The sequence below is a fragment of the Homo sapiens genome, chromosome 15 (assembly GCF_000001405.40).
Source record: "Homo sapiens chromosome 15, GRCh38.p14 Primary Assembly".
NCBI lineage: Eukaryota > Metazoa > Chordata > Mammalia > Primates > Hominidae > Homo > Homo sapiens.
Window position 1 is genome coordinate 100325338 of NC_000015.10, and position 17338 is coordinate 100342675.

General features: G+C 51.0%; 1 protein-coding gene across 13 annotated transcripts in view, besides 1 other annotated feature; it reads right to left on the reverse strand.

Moving 5' to 3' along the window:
- ADAMTS17 (ADAM metallopeptidase with thrombospondin type 1 motif 17) overlaps positions 1–16638 on the reverse strand; it is a 370539-nt gene extending 353901 nt beyond the window's left edge. For 12 of the 13 annotated variants that reach the window (XR_001751118.2, XR_001751120.2, XR_001751119.2 and 9 more), the window contains exons 1-3: positions 16484–16638; positions 15702–16072; positions 5552–5717 (exon numbers count right to left, since the gene is read on the reverse strand). Coding sequence is in view for 9 of the 13 variants with exons in the window: in NM_139057.4 (NP_620688.2) it covers positions 5552–5717; positions 15702–16072; positions 16484–16562 (616 nt within the window). In the remaining 4 variants the exon portion in view is untranslated. Of the gene's footprint in view, positions 1–5551; positions 5718–13661; positions 13793–15701; positions 16073–16483 lie in introns of those variants that run through there. The other variant, XM_017021984.2, reaches the window with a different exon arrangement.
- Positions 14972–15490: an enhancer, noted in NCBI's record as "H3K27ac-H3K4me1 hESC enhancer chr15:100880514-100881032 (GRCh37/hg19 assembly coordinates)". NCBI's record gives its function as "activates a minimal SCP1, AML or CMV promoter by ChIP-STARR-seq in naive and primed H9 embryonic stem cells {active_cell/tissue: H9 hESC(naive and primed)}" and the evidence as "EXISTENCE:reporter gene assay evidence [ECO:0000049][PMID:30033119]".

Sequence of the window (17338 nt, forward strand, 5' to 3'; positions counted from 1 at the left end):
TACAGAGGTAACTAAGTTAAAATAAAGCACAACAGTGGGCCCTAATCCAATGACTGGGATCCTCCTAAGAGGAAATTTGGACGGAGACATGCAGAGAGATAAGACCATGTGAAGACACAGGGAGAGGACGGCCAATACGGTTTGGATGTGTGTCCCCTCCAGATCTCATAATGAAACATGCTGCCCAATGCTGGAGGTGGAGCCTAGTGGGAGGTGGCGGATCCCTCATGAATGGCTTAGTGCCATCCCCGTGGTGATGAGTGAGTTCTCACTCCATTAGTTCATGCAAGAGTTGGCTGTTTAAAACGACCCTCACCTCTTCGCTCTCTCTCGTTCCCTTCTCTCTTGCTCCCTTCTCTCCCCATGTGACACGCTGGCTCCCCTTCATCTTCCACCAGAAACAGACACTGACACTATGCTTTATGTAGACGCTGCAGAACTCTGAGCCAAAATAAACCTCTTTTCTGTATAAATTACCCAGCCTCAGGTATTCCTTCAGGCAACACAAATCGACTAACACAATAGCCATCTGCAAGCCAAGGAGAGAAGCCTGGAACAGATCCTTTCCTCATAGCCTCAGAAGGAACCAACCCTGTCAACGCCTTGATCCCACACTTTTGGCCTCCAGAACTATGAATAATAAATACCAACAAAACAATAAATTTCGGTTAAGCCCCTGGGTCTGTGCAGCTTTGGAGCAGCCTCTTCGCTCCACACACAGAAGCACAGAGACATCAAGGGACTCTTTTTCTGGGGTTACAGCAAAGGGAACAGAATTGCGCCTCTACCATGGTTCTTTTTTCTCTTTGCGGAATAATAATTCTTAAACTATTGATGTCTACTTATAGAGTTAACATTTATATGCAAATAAATGTTTAAAATATTAACTTAAAGAAACTCAAAGTAGCAATTTAATGCCATTCCTTTTAGGTTCTGCTTCCAGTTAAGATGTAGAAGGACAGGAAAGACTCCAACTACCACTTTTACAGCAAAGAACACTGGATACACTACAAAATCATATTTTATTTTATCCACTGGGAGAGCTACGGTCTCAAAGAAGTGTAGAGGAACCAAATTTCAGAGGGATTGGCCCTTGCTGAGCAAAGATCAGCTACAGTTATCCCTGGGGCACAGGTGGAATGAGGAGCTCATTAGCATCTAAGCTGTGGAAATAAGGAGGAAACAGCCAATTGTTAACTGTGTGGGCTGTAATAATGGATTACACCTGGATTTGAGATGTCCTAAATCTACTCCAGACTTTTACCAAGTGTGTGATGGCTGGCAAAAGTCAGGACAGGGATGGAAACAGAGTGGTATCTGCATAGTCACATGAGTACTGGCACCTACGCTCTTTATGGGGAGAGACCTAAGCCTGCCATAAACCTTTGCAGCTAGTGGCAAACCCAATCCAAGCCAACCCACTTCAAATCCCAATTAAACAGAACGTTTGACCCCCTCATCCTAATTAAAAAGAAGGGTTGACCTCATCCTAGCTGCCTCTTGGTCACCCTAAGCGGAGCCAGGTGAGGACAGAGGGTGTCATACAAAGAAGTGACCGCAGAGAAGTGAAGCTTGGGTAAGTGTTACCTGATGTCCAACCTCCTGCTTTACTCATCAGCTCCATGAACTCATGTCAATGATGTCTTTAGTGTTTAAGTCAGTTTCATTTCTGTCATTTCCAACCGAATGAATCTTAACCCATTTATGCCAGAGGTTGCACATTTTTTTTGTGAAAACTCAGACCTTGGCGATGACCTTGAGCAGTAGGGTATAAATAACTCCCACAAGCTTAGCGTTCCAATAATGGAACACTAGGCATAATTGGTACAAAGCACAAGACCTGACCAACTGTGCACTACAGAGGATATACACGTATTATACGTGCAAATTCTTGCATAAATTAGCAATGCGCAGTTTCTACAGAGTTATAGTATCCACCAAATACTCATTGACATTACCTTTATAATGCTATAAATGAACAAACAATACTAAAAAATAACCACAATGATTTTTTGAAACAATGATAACAGAACTTAACCTATAAAGTAGACATCAGTGCTTCACAGAAACCACAGCTGGAGGCATAATCACGTTCCAGTGAGCTCACCACCACTCAGCATGTTGCAGGATTCCTATACTGCAAAGGCCAAGGGAAAATCACTCTTCTATTTCACCATCTACTTCTACCACACACATGTGAAATACACCATGGGGGAGGAGAGGAAGATTCATAGTTACTTAAGAGTATGAAAATGCTGGGAGGAAGATTCTAAACTGAATCATAATGGAGAAATTAAAACAAGCACAGAAGGAAGATTAGAACGTTTGAAGTCAAAGTAACTTTTTAAAAATCAAGGAACATTTCAAAATATCCAAGGTACCATTTTAGTTTGCCAAGTTCCAACCTGGAGTGCTATTTTATGGATCAGTTTATCAGGCCCCCAAAATAAGGAGCAATGTAGGAAACAGGATCAGCCTGTCCCCTCGCCTGAAGCCCCAAAGACCATTAGAAATGCAACCTCAGTAGTATCCAAGGGAAAGAAACAGTTCCCAGATGGCCTTTGCCGTGTCAGTCCTTCTAGCCACCAACCCTGCTCAGACATAAAACCCTACTCAGCACAGCGGCTCACCTAGGTTCACCTTTCAAGTACACTGAGTGCTTCATGGAGGAAGTTTCTTAGACTTCTCCTCACCTACAAGAGCCGGCAAGGCTACTCTCAGACCATGTCCAAGGCTATCATAACACAGGGTCACCAACAGGGCACGAAACCTATGGCTGCCATGTTCAGCCAGGAAGAGCATGTTCCCATGGGAAAGCTTGGATTAATCTGATTAATCTTTCTAGGAAAGATTAGGAAACTTCTAGGAAACTTAAAGAATGTACTTTGCAGATGTCCCAGTAAATTAATTTTCCCGATTTCTAAACTCCTGATGTTTGAAAGCTAATCCAAACTAGATAGGGCCTAACTGACTGCTCATTAGCTCAGCCTATTAAAAGGCCCATTGTCATTCTCAGGACAGCCACATTTACTGAATATTTCATGCAATGCAAGAAGGACCAGAAGCAAAATATGTAACTCTCCTCTGTGTCTGTGTTCCTGACTAGTGCAGAGCCTGAGTCTGGCACAACCTTAAATCCGCACATTACTCCCGCACCAAAAAGCAAGCTGATGCAAGGTTTGAGAGCAGGGAAGGAGAGATTGTATTTTTAAGCAAGTTCAGAAATTTCTCCCTACAGTCTTGCGTGGCTGCTCTTGTTTTAACTTGTTCCATCACACCCACCCCACCCTGATTTTGTTAATTTTATTTCCTCATTAAAGGCTAAACAGTCTATCAAAAGAATGCCTCAAAACTCTCCTTAGGGACAAAAATGCAAACACAAGCACCATTTATCATGTCAGTGATCCTCAGTATCACACCACTAAAGGGGATGGAAGGCGGCCATTAGACAAACATCCCATTATCTCATCTACAAGCACGCTGAGTTCTGACCATGGACTAGAGTCTGATGAACGGTGGCGTGAGCAGAGAGAACAGTGAGAAGAAGACACATCTGTCCTTTGTTTCGTTGCATGGCCCTGCTTGAAGGTGCTCAAATGGGAAAATCCACTCCCGATGGCCCACAGGTGCTATTCCTCAGGTTTAACAGTCCTTAGCGATGTGGTTTTCAACACCAGCTGAACATCAGAACCACCTGGGAGTCTTTACTTTGCCAGATGTCCCCAGGATGTCTAATTAAAGTGGTTCTCTGTGGGTGGGACCCAGGCGTGAGTAGCTGTTAAAGCTTCCCAGGTGATGCTAAGGTACAGCCAGGACTGAGAACCACTGCCGTAGAGAAATCCCTCTGCCTCTGTGCCGGTACGTCAAGACAGAACTAGGTAGGGTCAGGGGCTCAGGTTAAAAATAGCACACTGCAGGGGGCCAGGCATAGTGGCTCATGCCTATAATCCCAGGACTTTGGCAGGCCAAGGCGAGAGGATCACTTGAGCCCAGGGGTTCAAGACCAGCCTGGGCAACACAGTGAAACCCATCTCTACCAAAACAAAAATTAGCCAGGTGTGGTGGTGCACGCCTGTGGTCCCAGCTACTCAGGAGCGAGGATCACCTGAGCGCAGGAGGTCAAGGCTGTGGCAAGCCATGATCACACCACTGCACTCCAGCCTGGGTGACAGAGTGAGATCGTGTCTCCAAAAAAAAAAAAAAAGCCATACTGACATCAAATCCACACACAACCAACTGTCAGACCAAAGACCCTGTTTCCTATTAAAAGGTATTTTTTAGGTGCTAGTAATTGTACGGGGTCTTCCTCACTTTTGTAAGGAGGCAGAAAGAACAGAAAAACCCTAATGTCTCCATTTGAGACTCAAAGCTCTCTTGAGGTTTCAGAGATGCCCTCTATCCAGCACAATCACCTCTAATACTCACCTTGCCCACACAGACTAGGCTAAGGAGAAAGTCAATGTACTGCCATCCAGTCCACACACAGCAGCTGAGCTCAACTGCAAAACTTGTTTACAAATAACAAGGTAATTCTAAAGCAGTCACATAATTTATTCCCAATGTCACCGGGATACTAAACCAAGACACATTGTTTCCAATGTCACCAGAATACTAAACCAAGACACACTGCATTTTCATACAAAGATAAGTCTTTAAACTACAGAAGCACAACCCCCAGAAGTCAGCAGTGGGGTCCCACGATCTCCTGGGAGGAAATGCCACCTGTGCTCCAACTTCATCTGGGGACATTTGTAGCCCCATGAAATGTCCTTAAACAGGTGACAGGTCATCCACATTAGGGTTGTTCAAAGAGAGACCCAGAGTATAAGAGCCCCAGGTTCTCCCCCCACACTGCATCTTAAAATCACTTTTAAAAACCCTGGCACCCAAATCATACCCCAGACTAAAACAGATCAGGATGTTGGGGGACAGGCCAGTGCATGGCAAGTTTTAAAGCAGTGGTTCTCACACTTTAGCACGTATCTAAATCCCCTGGAGGACCCGTGAAACTACAGATGACTGGACCCTCCCCCAGGGTTTCTGATTCACAGCTCTGGCCTGAAAATGTGCATGTCTAACAAGTTCCCACGTGATGCTGATGCTGCTGGCCCGGGGGCCACACTGTAAGAATCGAGAATCGAATCACAGCTTCAGAGGCGCCCCAGGTGGCTTTAGTTACTGCGGCCAGAACTCGGGAGCACTGTATTATTAAGAGTGAGCTCCTGGCCAGGGCACCAGGAGGAGGGAATTCTTATCCAAGCTCGGCTACAAGGTTTTTTGGACCTCAACTTGCTCTTGATATATAAAATTGAGGGACTGCATGAAAGAGATCCTAGGTTCCTTGCAGAAACAAAACGATGACTTTTTCAAAGGACTGCCGACACTAAGACACATAGAAAGGAAAAGGAAGTGGTCTCAGGGCAATAAAACAGCTTTTGAAATATAGGGGAAGGTAAGTTCTCACTCATGTGGCTTCAGTGCACTTGGAGACACACAAAGGATGTGGGCTGTGCGTGTGTTCTAAGCTGGTCATGCTGCTGCCCCGACTCACCTGTTAGAACCTTGCAGAGCTGCTCAGGTCTCTGGGCCTCAGCAGAAGGGCTGGGGGTCAAGGACCATTTGCGCCTGATCAGATGTTCTCGTCCACTGAATGGGCCCTGGGAGTTGTTGAGGGGCTGGATTAGCACCTGCTCCTGCCCAAGCTGAATGAGGCCAACCTGTCCAGAAAGGAGAAGGAAACGCGATGTCGGTCATCCTCACTCACACACGCCCATGGCCCCCCGGAGGGGCAGGCAAGACCACCTTGCTGTGATTTGGTTTTCCAGGTCTGGGCTCGTTTCTTTGCAGATTGGTCAGATTTACCTGAGCCCAAGAGTGAGCTTGTGTGTGACTTACAAACATACCACAGAGCAGCTGCGTTGGGGGTAGGGGTACAGAGACAGATACAACAGCATCCATTTTCCATGTTGGCTTTCAGAGAAGATGAACTACTTCATTATCAAATTTTTAATTTTAAAATTATTTTTTAAGTTACTTCAAAAATCATCCCCCCAAAAGTCCACCTGGGAGGCAACACTGAAATTGTTGGGAATGACATTTGTATCCCTAATGGAAAAATGTATCTTATCCCTGGGTATATTAAGAGTAACATTAGTATTGTTTTGACAGCATCAAAACAATTTGCCCTCCTTCAGCAGGCACCTGCTGCTAGTTTCCCTTCTTATGCAGAGTCAAAATGGTAAATCTCTCAAGGAAATCGAACCCAGGCAGGGCCAGGGGAGGACCTGGTTTGAACACTGATCGATGCAGTCAACATCCCCTTCTCCTGGGAACAATCCCGAACTGCCTTTGATCGCAGATTCAGGAGATCTGGCGGATGAGTCTCAGGGGGCCATGGCATCCTTTCTTGTCTCCCTCTTCCACCCTCACTTTTCAAAAGCCATGACACACTACACCCCTGGTTCTCAAAGCCTAGCGTGTGCCCAAATCACCTGGAGGTCCTGCTGGAGCCCAAGAATGTGCATTTCTAAGAAGTTTCCATGTAATACAGGGACCACACTTGGAGAAACAGCACTCCCCACCACACGCAGAGCTAACTCCAGTCTCAAGTATAAAACTCACTTAAGCCAAATGAGATAGACCCCAGCTCTACGTTCTGAAAGGATGCACCAGTACCAAGATTCCTGGAAAGTAAATCAGATCAACTAATAAGATCGCCTACAATCTTGCGTCCCCAAGATACAGGGTGAGGCCATACTTACCGCTCTAAGCATATTTCAAGGTTTCCATTTCATTAGAACTTTTGCCAAGAAAAACTCAAAGATTTTACTGCCCAAATAAAACTGTCTCAAAGTGGCACTGCATGACCTGCAGGAGAGCACAGCTTTCCTCCCTCTCCTTCAAAGTGAAAACTTGAGTTTGTTCACTAGGAAACTTTGGGGAAACTGAAGAAATGGAAGACGGTGGCCACAGTGGGATCTGCAGAGCTCCATCACAGCTGTGCGCGATGCGGCCTCGGTGCAGAACACCCGAAAACTGCCGCAGTCAAGAAAGAGTGGGCAGGGTACGGCACAGTGCCTGGGATGGAGCCCCGCGTGGGAGGACCCCCCACCTGCTCCCCAGAGGATACGCTTCACTCTAATGAGGGGCTGCACTCATTTGGAAACACCCTGGCTGTGGGTCAAAGCCCCCCCAGGATCTAGCACTTTCAAAGCTAGTTATTATTCGTTCAGTCTAGAGTTTGCATTCACAAACCCCGGCATAAAAAGCAGTCAGCTGTTAGTTCTAAGCTGATACAAATTTTTAAAGACAGGGAGATCTCACCTTGGTGAGAAATCCTACACATACACACTCATATACACATGCAAAGCATCACTTAGCACCTTAGGGAAGGTTTTTCTTTACAATTCTCAGGGCCCCCATGTGCTGGTTTCTATAAACTTAAGGAAGAAAACAGCAATGCTGGGGAAAGATGGATGAATGGACTAGTGGGTACTCGCCCCGGCAGCCACTTGCCCTCTTGGGCCCCGACCTCGAACAGGGATGTGGCCAGGCTAGCACCAGGAAGGAGGGGTTGTACAGGGCCCTCACCCTGGGAACCTGCGTGAGGAAGGGCCCTGCCTCCTCCTCCCTCACTGTCTCACTGTCCCCAGGTTCCTTCAAGCCTAACACTGCCATTGTCAGCATGCCACCAGTGGTCAAACGTCCTGTTGAGAAGTGCCACCTATGCATTACACACAGTCTCACCCCAAATACCCACCAGCCTTCCTTCTCTCTCCCTGACCTCTCTTCCCTAAATAAACCCCCTTCCCCGCAGCCCCCTGCACTCTTACATTCCAGCCCACTACCCCATGTTATAGGACCTTTTCACGACCTAACGGTTTGTTCCACTGAGGCAAGATCAGAATTATTCCTCCTGTTTTTGCCAATGTCTGCCACATAACAGTTACTCAGAAAGAAAAAATTCGACTGAAAATGCAGTTACGTGCACAGACTGCCTGCAGCCCCCTGGCTCAGGGCTTCTCATCCCCGGCTACCTATTGTTATGATCTGGGGAGCTTCGAAAACTCCTGATGCCTCAGCCCCTACTCCAGGCCAAGTGAATCGGAATCTCTGGGGTGGAGCCCAGGCACTGATATTTTTTCAAAGGTGACCAGGAAAATTCAATGTGTAGCCAGGGTTGAGAAGCGCCGTCCTAGCTTTTCACTGGGTGCTGGAGACCCTGGACACCTACTGCCTTGATTCCATGTGGAGAGGTCCTTGGATTTGGAACCTGGGACTTCCTCTGTGGAGCTCTGCCCACTGCCCTTGCTTCTGGCCCACGACTGCGCGTGGCCCCAAAAGCTGAGCAGGGCTTCTTGGATCTGTGTGACTCCCGTGTCACCATCTATGCGGGGAAGGGAGACTCAGGGAAATGTTTGTCCAAGGCCTCTTCTGTCCCATTGATGGCGATGAAGAAACACTAGCTATGAGCCTGTGCCTTAGACACAAGAGGCCTGCAACCGTCCTCCAAAGAGACAAACTTTGTAGAAATAAATGCCTATGGCAGACAGAACTGGCAGCCCTGAAGCCCCTTGGTTTTAAGGCATATAATAAAGCCCCCAATGAAATGGTGCTCTTAAAAGAGAAATCTTCAGTTTTGCAGGATTTGGTATGCTATACTATAAGTGTGGCTCAAATAAAATGGATCAGGCAATAACTTGATATTTCAGCAGTTGTGAGTGGTTACCTTTCAACTCTCTTTGTTGTGGGTACTTGCTTTGAAGGGTTCTATTAAGACAGAGTTGTAAATCAGGCATTGTTCACGCCACACCACCTCGTGCCTGAAGCAGGACGAGCTCTCACTGCAGTGTGGAAAGTGTGAAAGACATAGAGGTTTTTATCACCTAACGTTAGCACATGTTCTCGGCATAGCTTAGAAAATGCAGTTAAGATAACAGAGAACGTCTGTCCTGTGTGCTTCAAAGCAGCATGCCTCTGTGGGAGGGGACAAAGTCACACGATTCCACAAAGACCGCAATGGAATTCCCTTTCTTCAGGAGTCTGCAGCTCCTCAGTTAACATGAGTGGGTCTCAGGTCTCCTTCTCTAGGTCAAGATGGGTTGAGAGGATAGGGCCAACGGGGTGGTGAGTTTGCTTCCTGTAGGGACCAACCAGCTTCCAAGAAGAAAAAGCCACCCTGTAACTGCAGATCCTCCCGTCCTGCCTCTGACTCTCCGGCGGGCACACACCTCTTTCGATCCTCCCGTCCTGCCCCCCGACTCTCGGGTGGGCACGCACCTCTTTCCGTGGAAGGAGGCTCCCCCACGCAACACGGCCACGCGGGGCTTCCCAACCTGCACCCCTTCTGAGGCACCACCTGGAGGGCCCCTCCCCCGGTCCCGCCGCCTCCTCGAATGTGAAATGCCTGAGCACAGACGCTTGGTCTTCTTCCCAAAGCAAGCCTCTCCTTGGTAATGTGGGGGTCCCTCACTTCAGTGTCAGCCCTTTCAGACCACTAGTCAGTGCCAGCCAGCCAAAAAGGACTGCCAGCCTGCCCTTCAGAGTCCCTCTCGTGTGGTCTTCCTTCCTTTCTGAGGCTTGCCATGGTCGGAGGCTTGAGCCTGGTCACCTCCCTGCTCTAAGTGCTCCCCTCGTTCAGTCCTCCCCATACGGCTAGCCCCAGGATTCCCCAACTACCCATCCTCCATCGCCTCTCAGCCAGTGACCCTCAGAGTGCCCTCCCAGGACGGCAGCATCAGCACCCCCGGGGGAACTTGTGAGAAATGCAAGCTCTCAGGCCCACCCCAGACCTGCTACATCAAAAACTCCTGGATGGGGCCCAGCAGTCAGTTTAACGGGCCCTCCAGGGGACTGTAACGCCGGCTCAAGGTTGAGAACCACTGCTCTAGGATCAAGTCCAAATGCCTTCGGTTGGCACCCAGAGACCTGCCCCATTTAATCCACACGCCTGCCAGTTCAGTTCCTCTACCCCCATCTCTCCCGTAAAACCACCACCCCACAAATCCACTCATGGGTCCCTTATCTCAGGACAATGGGGCCTCGGTGACTTTTCAGTCACTCACTTCTCCCTCCTGGAATCTGAAGGCTACCCTCCTCCCTCCCCAGAGCCCCGCCCTGCCCAGTTCCAGGCTCCAGCACACCTACCTCCAGGAGGCTGGGACTGCCTTCCCAGACAGGGCCTGCATTGTCTTTCTCTCTGAGCCTTGCTGGGCGCCTACCAGAGCATCCTGCACGTGGCAGGTGCGTGATAATGATCTGCTCATTCAGGCAACAGCGATGACTGATCAGCTGATGTATAACTAGAAAAGTCTGGGAACAGCCTGCAGGGCAGGAGAAGCGGCCTGTTTTTAATGCCTTAATGTGCCAGGCTCTCACTAAATGATTTCACAGACTTTATCTTCTTCCATTCTACCAACAGCCTTGCAGGGCTATGTTATTTACCCCTGTATGGCTGCAGGCAGAAAGGTTCAAAGGAGTTAAGTGACTCGCTCAAGATCACAGCTCCAAATGGCCAAACAGTTTCATTTCCTAAGAAGCAAGAATGTGACTATGCATCTGGGGACCTGTGCACAGAAGCGGGTCCAGGGAAAAGTTAACCAACCACTCTGCATGGTTCCCTCAGATGTACTGGCTGCAAAAAACATCTTCCCCATCACACACATCCAAGATCAGGCAGCTGCAGTATTTCAGAGTTCAGGAAGTAAGCTCCAAGAATGCAATCAGTCAAAGAAGACTGCTTCACTTCATCGTCCCATCTTTTACTTCTTTTTCGTTTGTTTTTAAATGTTGTCAACAAAAGTTCAAAGTGGGAAAATCTAACGTGTGTCCTAGACGATGCTGGTGGGCAGCCTGGTGCAGGAGCAGTCAGTGCCTGGCAGCCTAAGAGGAGTCAGCCCAGCCCTGGAGAGCTGCAGCTGGATGAAGCCCTGAGTAATCAGGAGGAAAACAAGAGTATGCAGGGCTGGAGAGGACAAAGGCGGACAAAGAGAAGCCACCATGAGGCCACAGGAATGTTGTTCCAGAGGTGGCAGCCAGAGGCCTTAGAACTTTCTGAGTTCTTCCCTCCAATACTTCCGTGCCTCTCAACTCCACAAAACTGTCTTTGCCCTTCTTCCATTCCTGCCAAAGTGCCCCTTAACATCCACTCAATTGTTTCTTTTTACAAAGTTCTATATATGTGCTTTGTATTCTCCAAACATATTTATTCTGCACACGATCAAGTCCTCAGCAATAATAAGTAATCACTTAGGACTACGTACCTTCCTCAGACCTGTCTCAATATAATGATGTATTATAATGCAGACCCTTCCAATGGGTCTCCACACCATATAATTTTTGACAAGACTAACTCCTACTCAGCTGTTCTCCATCGAGTAGGCTGCATTATAAAGCTGGGCAATTTTGTAAATCAATCAATCGAAAGGGTTTGAAAACTCTTTTCTAAAGAAAGAAGTAGTAACATCCCAAACCTGCTTTCTCATCACAGGAGTCGTACACGTGCAGGCTGCCCTCTTAAAAGTGGGGTCCCCAACACTTCTAACCTAAGCTGCCTACTCATCAGCTGGCTGAGCTCACCCAGGCTGGAGTGCATTGGCGGGATCTCACCTCACTGCAAGCTCCACCTCCCAGGTTCAAGCGATTCTCCTGCCTCAGCCTCCCGAGTAGCTGGGATTACAGGCGCCCACCACCATGCCCAGCTAATTTTTTGTATCTTTAGTAGAGACGAGGTTTCACCATGTTGGCCAAGACTGGTCTTGAGCTCCTGACCTGCTGGTCCACCCACCTCGGCCTTCCAAAGTGCTGGGATTACAGGCGTAAGCCACCGCACCTGGCTGCCCCCATCTATTCTTATCTGGACTACACTTGCTCCCCTATAAATTAGAGGTATGCATTCTCTAAAGTTCTCAAGTGGACTGGAATAGCTGTACGGAACTATGAATGTCCCATGTGCCACAAATGACGTGCTACCAACATGGACACGTGGTCTGCAGTCAGGCTGACCAGTCAGAGTGAGGTGGGCTGGGCCACCAGACTGACCCCAGTGATTCCAAATAAGAGTCCTACAGCATGTGGCTGTGGCAACAGAAGAGCTATGGTAGGAGGATCCCCGACCTTCTCACAGTCCTTCAAGGTGGCCTGGAACGTGGATCCCTGACCTTCTCACAGTCCTTCAAGGTGACCTGGAACGCGGTTATGGCTTAATGTTTTGCAGCCCAGAGCTCCTTGGTGGTCTGTCTGGTCCCACCATCTCACAGTGTGCCCCTGGCAGGCCACAGCTTTTTCCAAGAAGGGGTGGACACATTCCAGTGGGTGGCCTTCCCAAGCTTTGTGAGTATCATCCAAGAAAGGATGGCCACTGCTTGGCAGACCAAACCCGACAGCAGGGGGCCTCCAGCCCTCCCCTCCTCTCGTTCACTCTTCCTAAAACAAGTCCTCCAGCCACTCACTTCAGACAAGCTGCAAAGATTCTTTTCAGAGCCTGACGCTCATGCTGTTCTTGAAGTGCCCTCTCCGCTATCCTGTCTACCTATGAAGTTCAGCCTGATTCCAATTCCACTGGCCTTCCACGATCCAGTCCTGATCACAGAGGCAGCTGATCCGAACTTACATAAATTCACGAAGAGTGTAAAGGCCTTCCTCAGACACCTGAAGTTCATGCTTTGAAATGATATGCTCATAGAAACACTTCCAAAAAACCCATGCTCTAAAGACTCTTGGAAATGTAAATACAATGAAGAAGCATAAACAGAAAACAATTAATACTTAAGTCTATGGCCTTTGAAGATCCAAAAGGCGCAGCTGGCCCAGCTTTTCAGGATAAGACACCAAGAAAGGAATGCGGCAGGCCCATGCCTCTATCTGCTGTCAAAAGGAAAAGGAGCAAAAATGGAACAGGTGCTTTACTCTCCATGGCCCCTAAACAGCTACGGAATGATCTATTCTAATAATTCGTCTCCTTTAAACAGACAGCAAACATCTCTGGAGACAAACAGCACAGATTCCATGCAACATGGAATAGAACGTGTGTGCCCCCAGCCCAGGCACTCAACACTCTCTACTGAGCCCTTTAGGAGATGTTCAATACAGTGGGACTTACCAGCAATTAACATGATACTCAACATCCGGAACGAAGTTTTGTTGAACGTGGCCACATCCATTCGCTCGTATGCCATCCGTAGCTGTAGCTGCTTTCACACTGAAAGGGCAGCTTTGAGCAGCTGCAACAAAGGCTATGTGGCCCCCAAAGCCTAAACTATTTATTTTCTGGTCCTTAAGAGAAGAAGTTTGCCCGACTCTTGCTCATTTTTAGATACAAGGACACTTCGAAATGCCCCTCCTCCATGGCCACCAAAAATCATCTACTTATAGCCTCCCTTCCCACACCTTATAGCCGAGCCTGTCGTAGCAAATACACACACACACAACTCCACATCTCCACTCACAGAGCTTCTACCACAGTACCACAGTCAAGAGGGACTAACACAACATCATCAGCCACCTGAACTGAGAACCAAAGTCAAAGCTAGTCTGCAATGCAAACTTGGTTAGCCCAAATTCCTGTTGCTTTCTTTTCTTTACGCTTTCAGGACCACCTTGCAAACAAAGGGTCCACCTCCAAGTCACCCCACTGTCTCTTCCCTCCGGCCTTCAGTACGTACAGAGGGGGAAGTGTCCAATGTCCAGCTCACACGAACGGGATGAACAAGGCAGACTAAACAACAGAAGTGTCTGCTCCGGCAGGAATTTAAAAGCTGAAGTCTTAGAGGTACAACCGCCACTGGCACACACTGAACTCAGCCTGTTGGCCAGGTTCCTTTATCTAAAGCACAGCACCCTCACATGGTGCTAAAGGGAAGGACAGTCTTGCCGAGAAGCTGGCTGAGATGCCATCTATGACAGGGCCCAGCCCTCATTCTGCAAGGATTTTAAATCAATGTTATCCAGCTTTCCACCTCGGCGCCTTCACAGATAGCTCCTTGCTGGAAACTTTACACCAAGAAGTATAAACTCTGACCTCTACAGAAACTCACTAAACCGCAGCAAATGGGATTCAGATGTTTCCATGTACAGTACAATGATGTGACTTAGACTTTAAACACTTTGGCAAAAACAGGAAAAATGATGTGGCCCTTCCAGTCCCTCCCAGAACATGATACAGCCTTGACCCGAGCCCTACAGTGATCTGAGCCTTTCTCACTCCTACTTAAGCCTCCTTGCCTACAACCCACATTCCCCGCCCCAGGTCCACATTCCCCGCCCCAGGTCCACATTCCCCGCCCCAGGTCCACATTCCCCGCCCCAGGTCCACATTCCCCGCCCCAGGTCCACATTCCCCGCCCCAGGTCCACATTAGCTCCTTCCTACCAGGCCCCCTCCAAGGGTCTATATCACTTTCCTTGTTTCACCAAAGTTGCCTATTTTTCCCAGCTGAGCAAAAGTCTATCATACCCTAATCAGAACTCAGAAAATTCCTGAAAGGAGAGCCAGACTGATCTAGGAAACTACACACAGAGATACCCGCAGGACTGGGAAGAAAGAGAGGTCTCACATAAGACCTTGCACCCCCAGCCTTCTAGCTTCGTAGATTCTCGAGGACTCGCCACAGACTCTGTGAGTAAGGGCTGGAGAATTCTAGATGGTGGCACAAGAAAAGGTGGAGGTGTGGGGAGCAGTTTCTTGTGCCTGGGAAGGACAGACACAAACTAATATCAGAAACTGCCTCCCCAGAGGCCAGTCATGACAGAAGACAGAGAACCCCTGCGGTTCATGCTCTGGGTCCATACCAAGCTTCGCTGGGGGCAGCCCATCTGCCGGCCATGTGTGCGGCTTTCGGGGCACGATGGAGAAGCTGAGTGCTCGTCTGGGCGCCAGTGTAGCCACATGATCAAGTGTGCGCGCAGGCAGGGCAAGTGCACACAAGAACCCCCCCTCCCCCTGGGAGCACCTGTTCCGGGTGCCTCAAATGCAACAGGCCAGGAACTTCGGGGCAGGGAAGTTACTGCCACAGCAAGGGAGCTCCTGGGGGCAGGAATAGGGTTTATCACCAATGTAAACACCCCTCAGGCCTGGTTGGGGGTGGGCACCAGATAAATGCCTACTAATAGTATAAGGAAGCAAAGACAAACACCCTTTCTCTCCTGTTTCTTACGTTTCAGCTAGGAAGAGTGGGGTGAGCCGTGGCCTGTCTGGGTACCTCTCCAAACTTCCTGTTCCAGGTACAGAGAGAAGACTCAAAAGGAAGGGAGGTGAATGCCCACTCCCCCACCTCCAAGTCCAAGAACATAACACCTACACGTACACAGGTACTCCCGTGACATACACTTTGACACGGCGGTGCAGATGCAGTGTTCTCTACATTGGGGCCAAGGCGCCTCTGTCCAGGGCCCTGACAGTTTCATCCCTGCCAGATCTGCGCTCCCTAGAGCGGGCGGCGTATACCCCACGCAACCCCAGCTCCGCGCGGGTTCCACGGGCTGCAGAGGCGCTGGACTGGGATGCTGCCCCTCCCACCCCCTTTGCCTATAGAGGGTACCGAAGGCCGGGGTGGGGGATGGGGAGAGGTGGAAAGGCAGGGGGTTCCCTCCGGTTCCCCTGGAGGCTGGACTTCCAGCAGAGGCGCCCCACCCCCACCCTCCACGGCGACCACTCTGCGTCGCAACAGACCGGACGGGCCGACCCGGAGGTGGCGCGGGCAGTACCAGGCCGCCGGCGGCGCCGCAGGCGCTGAGCGAGACGAGGGAGCCGGGGTGGCCGAGCACACGGCCCGAGTAGAAGCACAGCTCGGCGGGGCGGCCGCGGCGCCGGGCCGCGCCCGCCTCCTCCACCTCGAAGCCTCGGGACAGGAAGCGCAGGTCGCGGCGCAGCTGAAGGTACAGGTCGCGCCCGAAGGCCGGCAGGTGCAGCAGCAGGGCGCGCTCTCCGGGCCGGGCGCGCGGGGCGGCTGGGGGCGTGCGGGGGCGTCGCCGCCGTCGGGGCCCGGGGGCTGCGGGCAGCGGCGGCAGGTGCACGTCGTCGGGGCGCACCCGCCACGGGAGCACCACCTCCACGTCGGCCGCCGCGTCGCCGACAGCTGCGGGGAGAGAGGAGACGCGTCAGCGCGGCGGGGCCCGCCCGGACGCCCGCCCTCCCGCTGGCCGCCAGCCGCGCCAGCGCGGGGACAGCGCGACCCGGAGCCGGCGCTGCCTTCCCTTCCCTCGCCCGGCACCTCCACGCTGGCCCGCGCCACCCGGGGAGGGTCTCCGGCGCAGCCGCGCGAGCACCTCCCGGAACGGCGCCGCGCATCGGCGAGCGGAGACCCGGCGGCGGCGCGCCTGCCACGGAGCCACCCGATTCCCGTACTCCGGCCGCGGCCCGCGCCTCCTCCGCTCGGGCGCCGTCAGCGGTCCCGCCGCCGCCCCCGGGCCGCCAGGACGCCGCGAGAACGCAGAGGGAAGGTAGCCGCAGGACGCGGGGTGAAGAGGGCTGTGGGAGGGGGCGCTACCTGTGCCCGGGTCCAGTCCCCAAACCAGCAGCAGCAGCACGGGCAGGACGAGCGGAGGCAGCAGGGCGCCGTCACACATGGTACCCGGGACCGGCAGCCCCCCCGGACCGTGGCGGCGAAGCAGGAGCGCGCTAGGCGGCGGCGCCAGCCGGAGTGAAGCCCTCCAGCCTTTGGAAAAAGTAATTAGCGCTGCGGACAAACCCAACGTGGTAAACCCCAAGCCCCGCCTTCCCCTCGGAAGGCGGGAGGGGATTGGGCCCTCGCTTTCCTCCGCCCCGCCTCCTCCTTCCCTACTGGTTGGGATGGGTCGAAACCACAGTGCGTAGTTAGGTTGTCAGCGCTTTCTTACACGTGGTTTCTGGGCAGTGGCGGGGACACGGCACCAGGTGGCGCGCGGGAGCCGACCGGAGCCGTGGGACCCTGGAAGAGCTGGAGGATGCGGGGCTGGTCTTCAGAGCTTGTCCTCATTTTGGAACTCTCTCAGCCTGCTGCCCAGTTTCCCGGGAAGGTAGGGCGGAAATCGCCCCGGCCAAGCGGTTTCATCCAAAACTGCATATAATCTTTACATCTGAAGTTAGGTTTTAGTTGTTTGTGGCCGCAAAGACTCCCAGTCCACTTTCCCGCACACCTGAGTTAGCACCTGAAGGCTATATCCGCGGCGTTTATCCAAACTCTTCACACCTCCTGTCTTCTTTAATCCCACAGGAGCCAGTGCAACACGCATGCTCACACCCTCTTACAGACTGAAAAACTGAGGAAGAGAGAGAGCTTAAGGAAAAACGCTGAAGTTACCCAGAGAGTTCCTGTTGGAGCAGAGGCTAGAATTTGTGATCCTGATTTCTGGCTTGGTGCTTC